Source organism: Homo sapiens, chromosome 11, assembly GCF_000001405.40.
Source record: "Homo sapiens chromosome 11, GRCh38.p14 Primary Assembly".
Taxonomy (NCBI): Eukaryota; Metazoa; Chordata; class Mammalia; order Primates; family Hominidae; genus Homo; species Homo sapiens.
In genome coordinates this window covers 94,658,608-94,673,538 of record NC_000011.10, presented here as the reverse complement: position 1 = coordinate 94,673,538, position 14,931 = coordinate 94,658,608, and the positions used below count along the sequence as shown (strand labels likewise).

Below are 14,931 nucleotides of genomic sequence, written 5' to 3'. Positions count from 1 at the left end.
TGGCCTCAGTGCCAAATCTCCTTTGGCCCAGGGAAAATCCGTTAACCTTTCTGGGCCTCTGTTTTCTGCCATATAAAATGGGGTACTGTCCTAGCTACCCCGGGAATGGGAGATGATCCCAACCAATGCCCAAAGGCTTTGATGAGACATCAGACTTCAGCTGGCCATATCTTTGGCCACAGTATCTGCCATATTATTTACCTGTCTATTCTGTATACCTATATCTATTTTCCCAATATACTTCTCCTCTGATTATTACTCTCTCTCTGTTCTTTAGAAAAACCCTTTAAGATCTTCCCTTGCTATCTTCATTCCACTGTGAGCAGCTTGAAGTCAGGACCCTCCCCTTATTTTTGTTCATAGAACCTAGCATAGTACCTACCTGACCCAATAAGTGTCCATTGAATAAGAGATTGATATTTTCCACAAACAGAACATGACTCCGAAATAATTTTTTATATTTAACAAGCAAGTATATCAATTTACTATGCACCAGGCATTATTCTTAGCATTAAACACATATTAACACATTTAATAGTGTCACGGGATCCTTGGGGTGTCGCTTTGCCAGCTGGAAACCTCTGTGGCTGGTGGCGCCTTCTGCCTGAGTATTGCTTGCACCAACTGGGTTCGTTCCACCCACTCAGCCTGGCAGGCTGTGCTTGGCTCACGCTCTCAGCCCTGATCCCACACCTGCCAAGGGCAAGCCAGGTGCAGAGTGGCAAGGGGTGCGTGGGCAAGTGAGTGTGGGGTCTGGCCACTGTGCACATCCAGGCGTGCTGACTGCTGTGGCAGAGCAGGCAGCTCCAGATGCTGGCACAGGTGCTGGCTCCATGTGAGACTCCAGCTGGACCAGATGTACCACATGCAGCTTCCACTGCGGGCACCCATTTCTGAATGAAGGGAACATAGTGGTGCCTGGAATCTTGGAGACACCAGGGACTGCAGAGCCCCAAAGAGGGTGTCATAGCCCTGGCTCAGGGAGCCCCTAGTTCTGAGCTCCGTGAAGGGCTGCAACTCTTCTCTCCTTTTCATTGCCTGCAATGTGGTCAGCCAGGGGGAGTGTTTCAGCCCCGTTTGTGTTATAGCTCCTTCAGTCCTGCCATTTGGCAGGTCCTGATTTCTTGTCCCACATCCAGGAAGAATGAGGTATACATACAACTGGAGAGTGAGCAAGGCAAAGAGAAGCTTCACTGAGTAACAGAACAGGTCTCAGGAGACATGCAGTGGGTAGCTCCTTTCTGCAGGTCGTCCTGACTAGCGTCCAGCTCTCAGCCGAAAAGAGACCTGCAGTGGTTAGCTCCTATCTGCAGGCAGGTCATCCCAACATCTCTGTGAGTCTGGCTGAGTCTGGGGTTTTTGTGGGCTTCTGAAGGGAGCAAGTGCATGCTAACATATCCATAGGTAGCCATAAGTGGGCCTAGATAAAGCATCATAAGTTCTCACTCCCAGCCACGAACTCCACCAGGAACTGGCAGCCCAGCCCTCATGTTTCAGGTCATCCCTTGCTTGAAGGTGGGACATCACATGTGGCATGCCCCTTTCTGCCCAGGAGCCTGTCTGCCTCCTGTTGCCAACAACATGTTGTCCACAGCGCACAGGCTGTTTGTGCTGAGGGGTTCCTGCAGGCCTGCTCCGAGCTACCCTCAGCCCTGCCTTTGGCCTCCCTTCCATGATCATTGGTGCCCAAAGTCTAGAGGGGGCCAAGGCAGCAGGGGACTGGCATGTCAGTGCTGCCCTGAGCATGTGCACACCCAGCTGAGTCATAATAGCAACTGGCCTCAGCCACAACTTTGCTCTGAAATCGGAGCAGGCACTGGGAGCAGGAAGAGGCCAGGCAGCAGAAGCAGGCACTTCCAAGCCTGTGGGGGTTGAGGGGGGTTGCCAGGCCCCTGAGAGCACAGAGATGCCCAGTCTGCAGCCATGGCTGGGTGGCTGCAGCTGCGCCCAGCAGGGTGGGGCTCCCACCCAGCCAACTCCAAAGGGGAACGGGGCTCCCACCTGTTCCTAGCTCCCGTGGGCTCTATAGAGCATGTAGCCCCTGCTGTGCCTCCCCTGCTGCAGCCAGCATCTTCACAGCAGCCACTCCAGATGGGCCACCACTGCCATCAGTAGCCATCATTGTTATACCTGTTTTGTATATTAACATTTATGTCTAATAATTCCAATAACTGGCTCCTCTATTGGTCTGTTTCTCTTGTCTATTTTTCTCGTTTTCATCCTTTCTTCTTGATCTCTAGTATATCTGATGATCTGAAGTTGAACGCCAGTAATTTTGCATGAAAATGGTGGAGGCCTTTCAAGGCTCTGGATGATATGTTTTTCCAGAGAGGATTTACTTCTGCTTCTGAAGGCAATCCAGATCGAGACAAGTCAGTTAATCAACTCCGTAATTGAACCGATTTGAATCTGTGCTTTAGTCTTTGTGATGTCCAGCCTGTTTCCAATTCATCATTGCTCCTGGAGTGTTGACCTTCCATGTGTTTACCAGTGTCCCTCCACCTTGGTGGGCTCTTAATCCCAATTTTTAACTTCCAAAAAATGACCACTGAAAGCTTTGCTTAGCTTCTCAGCTCTTTAGCCACCATTTTCTGCCCAGTTTTTGGGTCTCTTGGCTGCCTCTTAGAAGTCAGAAAATACCTTGAGGGGTGTATCAGTCTGTTCTTGCACTGCTATAAAGAACTACCTGAGACTGGGTAATTTATTTTTAAAAAAGATGTTTAACTGGCTCACAGTTCTGTGGGCTGTACCGGCTTCTGCTTCTGGGGAGGCCTCAGGAAACTTACAATCATGTTGAAAGGTGAAGGGGAAGCAAGCACGTCTTCAATGGCAGAGCAGGAGAGAGAGAGTGAAGTGGGAAGTGCTACACACTTTAAAATAACCAGATCTCATCAGAACTCACTCATAATCACAAGAAGAGCAAGGGGGAAATCCACCCCCATGATCCAATCATCTCCCACCAGGCCCCTCCCCAAGATTGAGGATGTCAATTCAACACGAGATTTGGGTGGGGACAGAGCCAAACCATATCAAGGGGGAAAACTGGTTCCAAATGTTGGGGTAACATTTTCTTTCTCTTTGGGATTTTGACAATTCCGGTCATCACTGCCTTCCTGCCAATACACTTAAAAATAATATTTATCTATATATTATTTTAAAGGTATGTATATTTAATTTAAAAACATATATACATGCAAATAATACGTATATATTATTTTAAAGGCATGTATATTATATGTGTGTGCATATTATATATATATACACACACACATAGTTTTATAGTTCTCAGCAACATGGTTATTTTAATTCAAGCTAGTCCACGAGAGTTGGAAAATAAAATACTTATTTTTATTTTATATACAAAGAAACTGAATCATAGGAATGTTAAATAACTTCCCTAGTTACTATGTTTTAAGTGAAACATTTACATATTTATTCAAAAATATTTACTAAGCACCATCCATGTATTAAACACTGCTGTGGGCATTGTGGATGCACAAATTAATAAGCCAGCCCTTGTCTTCCAGGATCTCAGGGTTGAGTGGAATCAACTCATAATTCAGTGCAGTCAGTGCAACTACTGAGGAAGGGGCAGTTGCTCAGGAGCTCAGGTGAGGGATCTGGCCTGGGTTTATCATGCTCACCTAGACTTCTTTCTCTACATAAATATCTCCCCTAGGACACAGTGAATTTCTTGAGGTCATAGTGTGGGTCATTCATTTCTCCATTCCCAATGCCCAACATGGCGCCTGGAACAAAGCGAGGGCTCCATAAATACCTGTTGAGTTGCATTCATTCTCAAACAGGGAAGAAGAAAACAAGGATAGCATGAAGGCTGTAAGATAATGGATAGTACCTTAGTTGCCAGTCAGGAATACCTAGTCCACCTTCTTCCCAGTAACTTGTGTGAACAGGGCAAGTCACCTTCCCTGTCTGGGCCCATTTTCTCACCTGGAGACTGGGGAGGTTGGACTGGATAATACCTAAGATCCCTTCCAGCTCTGTGTCCCTGTAGCTAAGTGTGACCCAACTGATGAAGATGAATGGCCGTAGCCTAACCCAGTGTGTCCCCGTGTGCCCTCTCCAGGCTGCAGTTGTGGTCAGATGGTCTTTTAGACAAAACTAGGGTGGCTGTTCCTAGGTCTATCTCTCTTATTTTTTACTGTGGAAAAATGTAGAGTGAAAAGCTTTTCTCTGATAAATGCCAGGAATTCTGCACAGGAGAGGCCTGCTTAAGGGAGGAGGAGTATGAGGAGACATTTTCTACGTCCTCTTCCCCTGGGCTGGCTCCAGCCTGCCTACTCTGTCTCTCACTTTTCCCAGCACAGAATTTACTTTCCTGTTTGAGAAAACAGTGCTGTGTCAATGGCAAGCGCGATGCTTAGGGAGGAAGCCAATTCCCTCTGCTAGTTTGGCTAAGTGGCATTTCTCTGTCTGGGAAATGGGGTTGCCCAGGTCTCACAAAGGCATCTCCAGAAACGAGTGGACACAGATTTACACTCAGCTGATTAGTGGGGTGACCTGCACCCCCATTACCCCTGAGAAAGAGTATTTGCCTCCAAAAGGCTCTGTGAAAGCAGAGAAGTATTGGCACTAGAGCAGCAGGGGAGGCTTAGAGGTTCAGCCAGCTCACCCCATCTCATGGATGAAAACCTGGGCCCTGAGTGGGTTAGTGGCTCTCCCAGGTCACACAGTTGATTTGCAAGGTAGAGTATAGAGTTTAATGTTACAATGAGACAGCTCAGCTGGCCCCCTGGGTGGGAGCTGGGCTTTATTTCATTCTTGAATCACATCATCAGTTTCAGTCTCTGTCTCATCACAGGTGCCATCAGCCTCCCAGCATTGCCAGGCTTGAGTTCCCACCCCAGACCCTGAAGTCTGCTGGGGGGAAATGACTGGGCCAGTTATGTATTTCCAAACATACAACTCCCAAGGTGGGAGGAGGGAGAGGAGGCAACCAGGGTTGCTTTTGTGGATTATGCAGTTACTGACCTAAATTTCATGTTGCCAGGGGGCTGGGGGCCGGGGGGCGAGAAGAACTGCCACAGGTAACACTGACATGTTGGAGAAAGTGCTGAGGAGATGAAATGCTGACTAGGGTCTTTGAAAATGTTGTCTGTTTTAATTGGATGTGTCTCTTCAGAACCCACTGGTGGCAGGCCCATCACAGGCTCCTTTTAATCAGTGGAATCCACATTTCCCCACTACAGCTTTGCACAGAAGAGAGAGCAAGGGGGCAGAGGCCAGGGGGAAGATGTGGTTCTAATTGGAAATATGGTAATTTGGGAAGAGGATTCTATTTCAAATAGAATTGCCAGGTTTCTTCTGCTTTATGCCTTACTGAGTAGATTTTTCGAAGGAGAAAGAAACTGTTCATCTTTTGGAGCAAGGGCCTGGGGTGATATTCTGACCCATTTTATTCTCTTCTTCTACAATGTACATATGTATATGCTGTCCTTTTCCAAGGTTTCCAGTAGCAGAGTTCACTGTTCCCCCGTGCAAGGGGCAGTACAGAGAGGAGACAGACAGGTACATCCAGCAAGGGCAGGAAAGGAAGGGCCAAGCACGAGTGGGAGAAGCCAAAAGACTGGGATCTCATACCAGGGGTCAGGATAGAGAATCTCTGACCAGGGTGAGGCTGGGATTGACCCTCATGTTCATTCTTCACTCAACAAACATTGGTGGGCAGAGCTACTCACTGTTAGGACCTGGAACTCTCCCATTATAAGTCGTAAGGGCCCCCACGCTACATGCCAAGCTCATCTTGGGACAAATCCAAACACTTGGGGAGGTCTTAGGACTAACAGAGGTATCTGAAGCGTGTGGAGACCCCAACCACAGAGTACCATCAAAACCCTGTGGCCCACCCAACACCATAGGCAGGCTCTCAGTTAGGTCCACTGACCTAGTCTGCACAAGCTGCTATAACAGAATACCATAGACTGGGTGCTTTGTAAACAACAGAATTTTGTTTTTTTCAGTTCTGGGGTCAGGAAGTCTAAGATCAAGGCACTGGCTGATTTAGTGTCTGGAGAGGGCCTGCTTCCTGGTTCATAGACGGCTGCCTTCTGGCTGTGTCCCAACACTGTAGAAGGGGAAGGATGCCCTCTGGGGCCTCCTGGATATTTATCCTGTTCATGGGGTATCACCTCCCAAAAGCTCCACCCCCTAATACCATCACTCGGAGGGGTTAGAATTTCAACATATACATTTTGGAGGGATATAAACATTCAATCTATAGCACCCACATCCTCAGGACAGCCTCAGAATCAATCAAGATTGAGAGATAGGTAGGAAGAAGTAAAAAGGGAGAGCGCTTTGGGTTGGTTTGTTACATAACAGTGGATCACCAAAACAGATGGCAAGCCAATAGAATAAGAGTCAGCAAATTTTTCTGTAAAGGGCTAGGTATATTTTGGGTTCTGCAGGTCAAATGGTCTCTGTGGCAATGACTCAATTTGCCATTATAGTCAAAAGCAGCCACAGACCATACTTAAACAAATGAGCATGGCTGTGTTGCAATAAAACTTTATTTATGAAAACACGTGGCAGGCCAGATTCAGTGCACCAATTGTAGTTTTCCTGCCTGCAATGGAGGGTTTGAAGCAGCAGAGTGATATGCTCTCGTTTAGACCCAGAGAGCTCTTTCTGACAGCCATGTGGAGGACGGACTAAAGGAAGTAAGAGCTGAGGTGAGGCTGTTGTCAGGTGAGAGATGATGATGGCTCAGCCTAGAGTTTTACTAGTAGAAGTGGAATGATTTAATTGTAAATCTATGTTGGAGGTGGCACTGACAAGATTACCAAGACAGCTAAGCAAATAGCCAATTGATGATTGCTTTGAGGGAAGTATGCAAAAGGAAGCTATGGGAACTTAGAGAAGGGGTACCCAGATTATGGGGATTATGACAGGCTCCCTGGAGGAGGCAACTGCTGAATAGGAAATAACCAGGGGAAACACCTGGAAGGATAATCTTTCAGGAAAGCAGAGTAGTAGCAGCTCATAATGGCTAAGGTTGGAGGAGTCCAGAGTGTCAAAAATAAGAGGTAACAGATGGTAATGACTCTGGAGGGCGGGCAGATGTCAGATCTTGAAAGTTCAAGAGGCCATTCCCTGCAAGATTAAAGATGGAGCAGCCAGCTAAGAGTCACCAGTCCTTTTCCAGGCCTTCTTCCCAACCATTCTTTCCAAGACTGCCCTAGGACATCTTCCCACTGTGAGTTTTGAAACTTTCCTCCTACAAAGGGAGCTCAGATGCGTTATCAGGAGCCCTGGCTGCCACACTTGATAGGTATGGGCCATATCGCAGGTCCTGCTGACCCTGAGTTTCCTCATCAGTAAAGTGGCGGTAGTAACAATCTCACAGAGTCGTTGGGAAGATCAAATGTGTATGAAAATGCTTTGCAAATGCCACAGAAATGCTAGGGTTTGTTAAGGTGACAATGTTGATTATTAAAACAGCATCCTGTGTCTCCTACAAGTTTATTTTGTTGTTTTCTCATTTTACGTCCTCACAATTCTCTCCTGATGATTTTTCTGAGTTATGAGAAGAGCTCTTTGTTCCTTGCTCCAAAGTTCTATGGGGATATGGTCACCCCGCCCCACCGCTGGGAAGAAAGCTGTTTTGGCTTTATTCACTTCCCCCAGGATGCCCAGGAACTAGCGTGGATGTTTCCCAAGCAGTTTTCAACTTGGCCTTGAAGCCATTGCTGCAGGCTGGCCGGCCCAAGGAGCAATCCTCCACTACTCCTCCCCACCACCAGCAGAGTCTTCCTCATCCTGCACTAGCAATTCCTCTCAAAGAAAGTGCTTTTCCAAGAGACAGGTAAATGGCCTTGAAGTGCTTACCCTTCATCTCTCTCCCTCTTGTTCTGTTTCTCTCCTGGCATTTCAGAGAGCTTTTCAGAAGGCCTGTGTGCATGTGGCATTTCAGTTCCGTGGCTCAGTGCACAGTGTGGTTTGACAGCTTACCTGAGGCAATTTAACCCTCCATGTTGCTCCATAACCTGCAGGTGTTCCAGGCTCAGCCCAGAGACACAGTCCTCAGCTCAGTGCAGACCCTCATCCCTGAGTCCATGGCACTACACAGCTCCTGCGAAGCTGTTCATGTAGACTTTAATGTGAGTGATGCCTCTCAGGGTTGACAATGCACAACCTGTGCAGCTGTCCATGACAGCACTGCTCACTGTTTCTTAACCATGTGTTTTTATGGTTACTATCAGAGCTCAGAATCTGACCTGTTGAACTGACCAAGCCTTTAGAGCCTGGTAATTCAACAGCCTTAATAGAGCAAGCACAGGCTTTGCATCAGCCTGACCTACGTGCTAATCCCGGAACCAGGCTAAGAAACCTAGGCAATTTCTTTTTGCTTGTGTGGAAATAATACTTACTATATGGGGTTGTTGTGAGGACAAAATTTCAAACATGGAGCTTATGTTACAAATAAAGAGAGTGAAGCCACTGAGGTTGAGGGCTGGCTTGAACATAGTGTTCTGACACCAAGTGGCATGTGATAGGTACTCAATAAATGCTTGATCAATTGAGGAAGCACATCAATAACAGGCCCTCGGGTGGTGATTCTGTGGGAATTTTATTTTACTTGTGTAATTGTGAATGTTTTCCAAATTCCCCACCATGAGTGTGAATTACTTTTATAATCAGAAGTTCAATAAGCATTATTAAATAAATGCAAGCAAAAAAGCAAGAGACACTAGTAACAGGCAGAGATGAATCTGACAGTATGAATTACTTATGAATTAGGAAACTGGAAGTGATTTGGAATCCTCCTTTGTTGCACTTTGGAACAAGTTCCTATTAGTTTCCCTCCACATGGCTATTTCTTGCCCCAAAGGAGTCCACAGTCTAGAGGAGGAAAGCCTGAAAAATCAATCTGTGTGATAAAGGGAGTCATTGTGAAAGCTACAGGGACAGAGGAAAGGCTGCCACCTGGCCTGGAAGGCTAGGGGCTGGTAGGTTAGAAAAGGCCCCACAGAGGCATGGACAATTAAGCCAAGCTGTGACTCATGACCAGGAGTTATCCTAGTGAAGGAGGGGCAGGTTACTGTGGGGTCAGCATGGCACATGCAGTGGCAGGGAGCTTGGCTGTTTGAACTGGACAAGTCATTAACCTCTCTTGGCCTCAACATTCTCTTCTGTAAAATGAAAGGGTTGGACCAGTTCTCTGGTTCTCAATCCTGATTACAAGTTACAATGATCTGGGGCATTTAAAAAAAAAAAACACCAAAGCCCAAGCCCCACCTTGTATCAATCAAATCAGAAGCACTAGGGGTGGGATCTAGGTGTTGGTATTTTTAAAGGGCTCCATGTGGTTATAACGTACAGCCAGAATTGTGGACCACTGGACTAGAAGTTTGCTAAGTTGCTTTCTGACTGTTCCTCTGACAGCATGTTTTGAGGTTGAGATAAACATCTTTAACTTTTTCACTAATGCAAATTTATCATTATAAAATAATGCTAAATTATTTAAATTATTTATTATAAAATAAACCAAAAGTAAATTGATTTCTTTAAGCCATTTACAATTAATGTGAGAGTGGTAGAAGAAAACAACAATGACAAAAGGATTAGAAGAGCAAGACAGAAATCTTGTTTCTATATGGAAGTTAACTGCTAGTCAGTTATTATATGAAAAGAAGATGGAAACCTGCTCACTCAGGAACATTCACCCCAAACTGCTCACTTCAAGGTTACATAGGTCTTCCACCAGGACCAGGGACTCGGCAGTTCATTGATCAAATGTAGAGACATAAGCCATAGTCTCCATCACAGTAACCAGGCCTGCCTCAAATGTGCACATGGATAGCTAACTGGTTATGTTAGTTTACTAGGGCTGCTGTAACAAAGTCCCACAAACTGAGTGGTTAAACACAGAATTTGTTCTCTCTTGCTTCTGGAGGCAGAAGTCTAGAATCAAGGTCTAAAAGCAAATCTAAAAGCAAGGCTGTGCTCTCTAGAATGGCTCTAGCAGAGGATCAGTTCCGTGCTTTCTCTTAGCTTCCAGTGTAGCCAGCGAGGCTTGGCATCCCTTGGCTTGTGGACACTTCACTCCCATCTCTGCCTCTGTCACCACATGGTGTTTCCCCCATGTGTCTTCACATTGTCTTCCTTCTGTGTATATCGGAGTTTGTGTCTCTTCTCTTCTTATAAGGACGCCAGTCATATTTGATTAGGACCCACCCTAATGACCTCATCTTAACTTAATTACATCTGCAAAGATCTTATTTCCAATATGGTCACGCTTACAGGTACTGAGGGTTAGGTCTCAACATATCTTTTTGGAGGGCATACCTCAATTCATAACTCTGGCCTACTTAAGCAATTTGGTGAAGGCCTTGGGCAGTTCAGAAAATCATCAAAGGAATTGTTGACCTGAAATACCTGATCTTTGAATTGACCAATGAAGCAAGATGATGAACTGACTAGGCACATTTTCAGTTTTCATAGCTGATAGGGTGATTATTTTTATTTATTTACTTTTTAAAAGTTCTCTTAAAAATTATTTCAATAGCTTTGGGGGTACAAGTGGTTTTTTGCAAGAGTGATTAAAGAACAAGAATGCAACAATGATAACAGAAATCTGACCCAGCTTGGTATGTGAAAAATCCAGACTTCCAAGGTGGAAAAATTATAGGAGGATTATTTCCCATATTTACATATTTACTCCCATTATTACAGAGGAGTGCTTTGATTTATGAAAATGTTTTTCTGCTTAGTCATAGACCAATATTTAGACATCACTTTATACTTTATACATCATTTTCATATATATCCAGATAATCTTCTCAATAACCCTATGAGTTAGATACCATGAACCCGTTTTACGGAAGGGGTGAGGAGGCTCCTTAGAAATGGGAGAACTGGGGCTCTGCACAGCCCAGCACACAGCAGGAGCTCTCTTTGCCCCCCAAACCCCCTCTCAGGGTCCTTTGAAGAGTAAGCTCTCCTCATGCATTCTACATTCATGAATTTAGGGAATGTTGATCTGCAGCTTTTTGGGGAAGATATTTACTGTGTAAAACAAAACTTACCTCTGCTTGTGGCCAACTCTAAAGCACTATAAAGAAAAATTGGGTTATTTTTAAGAAAAGAGAAAAGGGCTTAGAAATTTTTACTCAGATCTTGATGAATTTAGTCTTCCATCAATAGTCTTGGTGACAGACAATATCTGTTGTCACCACCACCTAATGCTGTTCCCTCGGGTCCCCAGGCAATTACTGACTCCTCCCACTATTTAAAGCAGCAGACTGGTGATTTTCTATTGACATTCGAAAGTAAAATTGGCATGAGGTCAGTTTGTTTTCTCTGACTAATTTGGAAAGATGTCACATTTGAAAAAAAATTTCATTAAGAATGAGCTTTCCATTTGGGAAACCAGTATCACAAAAGAGCCTGTGACAATGATGCTGTTCTTAAATTATTTCTCACATTTTCTTGCACCTTACTCACTTCAGTGAAGGTATTCATAACACATATGATAGAAGTCCAGAATCATATACATGCTTTAAGGACCAGACTTCACGACATCCTGCTGTAATGTTAGACAAATACTTTTTGAGTATCCAATGTCTCCTAGGTGGGAGACACACAGTAAATAAAACAGAGCAAAATCCTTGCTGTCTTTAGAAGAGAAGAGAGACGATAAGCCTACTAAATAAATAATATATGATATATCAGTAGGCAAGGATGTGGGGTGCAAAAATCACATAGGACCTTATAAGTTGATGTAAGGACTTTGGCTTCTACTCTGAGAAATATGGCGATTTTTAACAATGGAGGTCTTAAGAGGTTTTTGAACAAAGAAGTGACATGATCTATGTTTTGAAAGCACCACTTTGACTGCTGTTTTGAGAATAGACAGTAGGGTTTGTGGGTTTGTGGGTTTGTGGCAAGTGTTGAAAAAAAGAAAATGAATTAGGATGTGCTTGTATAGTCCAGGAGAGACATGAGGTTTATTTGATCTAGGGTAGCAATGGTGAAAAGTGGCTATATTCTACAGAGATGTTGAAGTTAGAGCTAACAGAATTTCCTGGAAGATTGGATGTGAAGCATAAGGGAAAGAAAGGAGTTAAGGAAGACTCCAGGGTTTTTGTCTAAGCAACTGGAAGGATAGAGTTGTCATCAACTAAGCTGTACAAAGCTGAAAATGAGGTTTGAAGGAGAAGATAGAACGTTGGAGACATTTCACATTTGAGACGTCTATTAGATCATCTACATGGATATTGCTGTTTGGAGTTCACGGACATTGTCAGCATATAGGGAAAAATTAAGCCTGGAGACTGGGATAAGACATCATCAAAGAAGAATATAGAGACAGAGAGTAGACCAAGGGAGGCCCTAAGTACTCTGGCATGTAGAGGCTGGAGAGATAAGGAAGAACCAGCAAAGGGGACCGAGAAAGAGACTCCAGTGAGGCGGGAGGAGAACCAGGCAACCACGGTGGCCCAGAAACACAAAAGAAAGAAATGGGATCCACTCTGCCCAAAGACGTGGAGTCTGTGGATTGCTTTTCAAGTTTAGTGATGGGAGGCCATAGAAGAATAGGTTTTCAACATTTAGGGCTGTGCCTAAAGATCTGTGTCCAGAAAATTTGTCATGAGACCATCAAGAATTCCTGAATTTGCAAATTCTTCTCTAACAATTTTCCCCACTGTTTAATTTATTCAAAACCATTTAAAAGCTAAGAGTAATCACATTTTAAAAATGTCTTCATAGTCTTTATCCCTTTTCACCAACTTCCGAAATCACCAGTGCTACTTGAGTTCTCTTATTCTCTATTTCATTCTGTCAGGTTAGAATCTGTGTTTGAGTCCTAACTTCACTTGCTAGCTGTATAAATGTGGGAAAATTTCATCTCTTAAGTGTCAATTTCCTTACCTCTAAAAATGGGAATTGTAATAAGCACTCATAGCAATTTTGTGGGGGTTAAATGAGAAGATATTTGTGCAGCGTTAATTAGGTAACATTGTAGGGGTAAACCAAGTGTTTCATCCCTCCATGAGATTGCTGCCCACATGACCACAAGCACAGAGGACAAATCACACTGAGAGGCAGATGCTGGATGGTTGACTAAGTTCCCTCAACAACTATTGACCACTTCCTAGAAACCTACCTCCCAGCAGATGTAATCCAAACTGGAGTCCTACAAAATTACCAAATTTTTATATGTAATGGATGTTCCATTTGCTTGATAATATTTGGAATTTAAACCTGCAAATGCTAATAAGGGCCAACTACATTGGTTATAGTGAGTGCATGAAGGAGCAGGTAGGGAAAGGAGGGGTGTAGTAATTAATTCTGCTTGAGTAGGTCTTCCCAGAAGACCCTTAGATTTAGTCTTGATGACTTAAGAAAGAAAAATAAAACTAAAAAAAAGTATTCCAGGTCAAGGGAACAGTGTGTACAAATGTACAGTCTTTAAAGAACATGTTCTTTATAGGTAAACAGTTCAGTAGGACCAGAGTCAAGGGTCACAGGGTCAGGGGAGGGAGTCGGGGAGTGGGTAATGAGCACAGAATTGAAGCTGGAGAAGGCAGGGATCACATCAGTGAGGTCCCATGGGTTGTGCTAAGCGGGTGAATATTTTCCTGAATGGAAGTGACTACAGTCTCTGAATGGCTTTATGTAGGAAGTGGCATGGCCAGGTTTATATTTTAGTGCTATTGCTTGGACAGCCAAATGGAAGACAGTCTAGAGAGGAGAGAACAGTGGGACGAAAGGCTGCTGACATCATATCCAGTTCCTTCTGTTTGACACATTTCATTTCTCTCCAATCTCCAGAGATATTATGCAAATATTCTTCTATTATATACTTTAAAAAATTATCAGTTCAAATGTTATCACTCTATTATCTATCATATTGTTTATGTTCTTCACAGACAACCCTGAAATTATCCTAAGGGATTTCCTTTGCCTTCTTCATTAGTATTCCAGTGATATCTCCAAGAGTTCTAAATAATGGTTGCAACTTCTCCAAACTCAGCAACTCCAATCTGGAGTAGTAGATGCCACGATGGATACCTCCCCCCTACCAGCCCCCATCTTCTGCCTATCACTGGGGATCCCTGGGTGAGCACAGGCCATATGAGCTGAGTACTAGATTAAAGATCTTCCAATTAAGCCTTGCCCATACTCTGAACCCCAAGAAGTGTCCTTTTGGGGGACCTTGATTTTCCCTCTGGTATAACTAAGACCCTCAAAAGGACTCTCCTTGGGATTCAGAGTATAATAATTTTGAGATAATTCCTCCTAAAATGAGCTTGTGTGATGTAAACAGCAGCCATTTTGGAGTTTGTGTGCCGGCTCAGAGGTCTGCCCTACTTTCTGGCACCTTCTTTTGGTTCTTGAGAGGCAAAGCTGCTTCTCCCCACCTGCTCCTGCTGCCTCTTCCTCAGCACACAGCTGCTGAGAGCAAACATTCACTGTCCTTGGCCTAATAAATGACTTGAGTCTCTCGACCTTCTATTGAAAGTCAACTCACTTCATTCACACCCCAGCATTCTTCCTATCAAATCTCATGCATGTTCTAGTTCACTTGTAATTAGCAAAATGTACGACCTTCTCCAGAGACCCCCACAGCCTGTTTACAGTCTCCTCCCAGAGGCCTCTCAGAAGCTGGCAATGTTGTTAGTAGCCACTTCTCACACACTTAAACTTGCTGAGATTTCAAGCTTCTCAAGACTCCTTTCTCCCAAGAATTTCAATATTTGGTTTCCTTTGAATATCTTATGGAAGTGCTACCTTGATTACTTTTCCAGTTCCCAGAACCTTCCACAATTACGTGGAGTAATAGAATCACCAAACTGACTTCTAGCAGTCCTTGTGTCTTTTCTGCCTCTGGGCGGGACAATAAAGGCACAAAGTATTTTTCCAAGAACAATAGGACACAATACCTGGCAAGGCACAAAACGTGTA

The 14,931-nt window shown here is 44.3% G+C and overlaps 1 long non-coding RNA gene across 3 annotated transcripts in view, besides 1 other annotated feature; it reads left to right on the top strand.

Annotated features, from left to right (window-relative positions):
- PIWIL4-AS1 (PIWIL4 antisense RNA 1) overlaps nt 1–14,931 on the top strand; it is a 195,024-nt gene that overhangs the window by 66,817 nt on the left and 113,276 nt on the right. The gene's annotated exons all lie outside the window — the stretch shown is intronic.
- Nucleotides 1,231–1,730: an enhancer, noted in NCBI's record as "H3K4me1 hESC enhancer chr11:94404975-94405474 (GRCh37/hg19 assembly coordinates)". NCBI's record gives its function as "activates a minimal SCP1, AML or CMV promoter by ChIP-STARR-seq in primed H9 embryonic stem cells {active_cell/tissue: H9 hESC(primed)}" and the evidence as "EXISTENCE:reporter gene assay evidence [ECO:0000049][PMID:30033119]".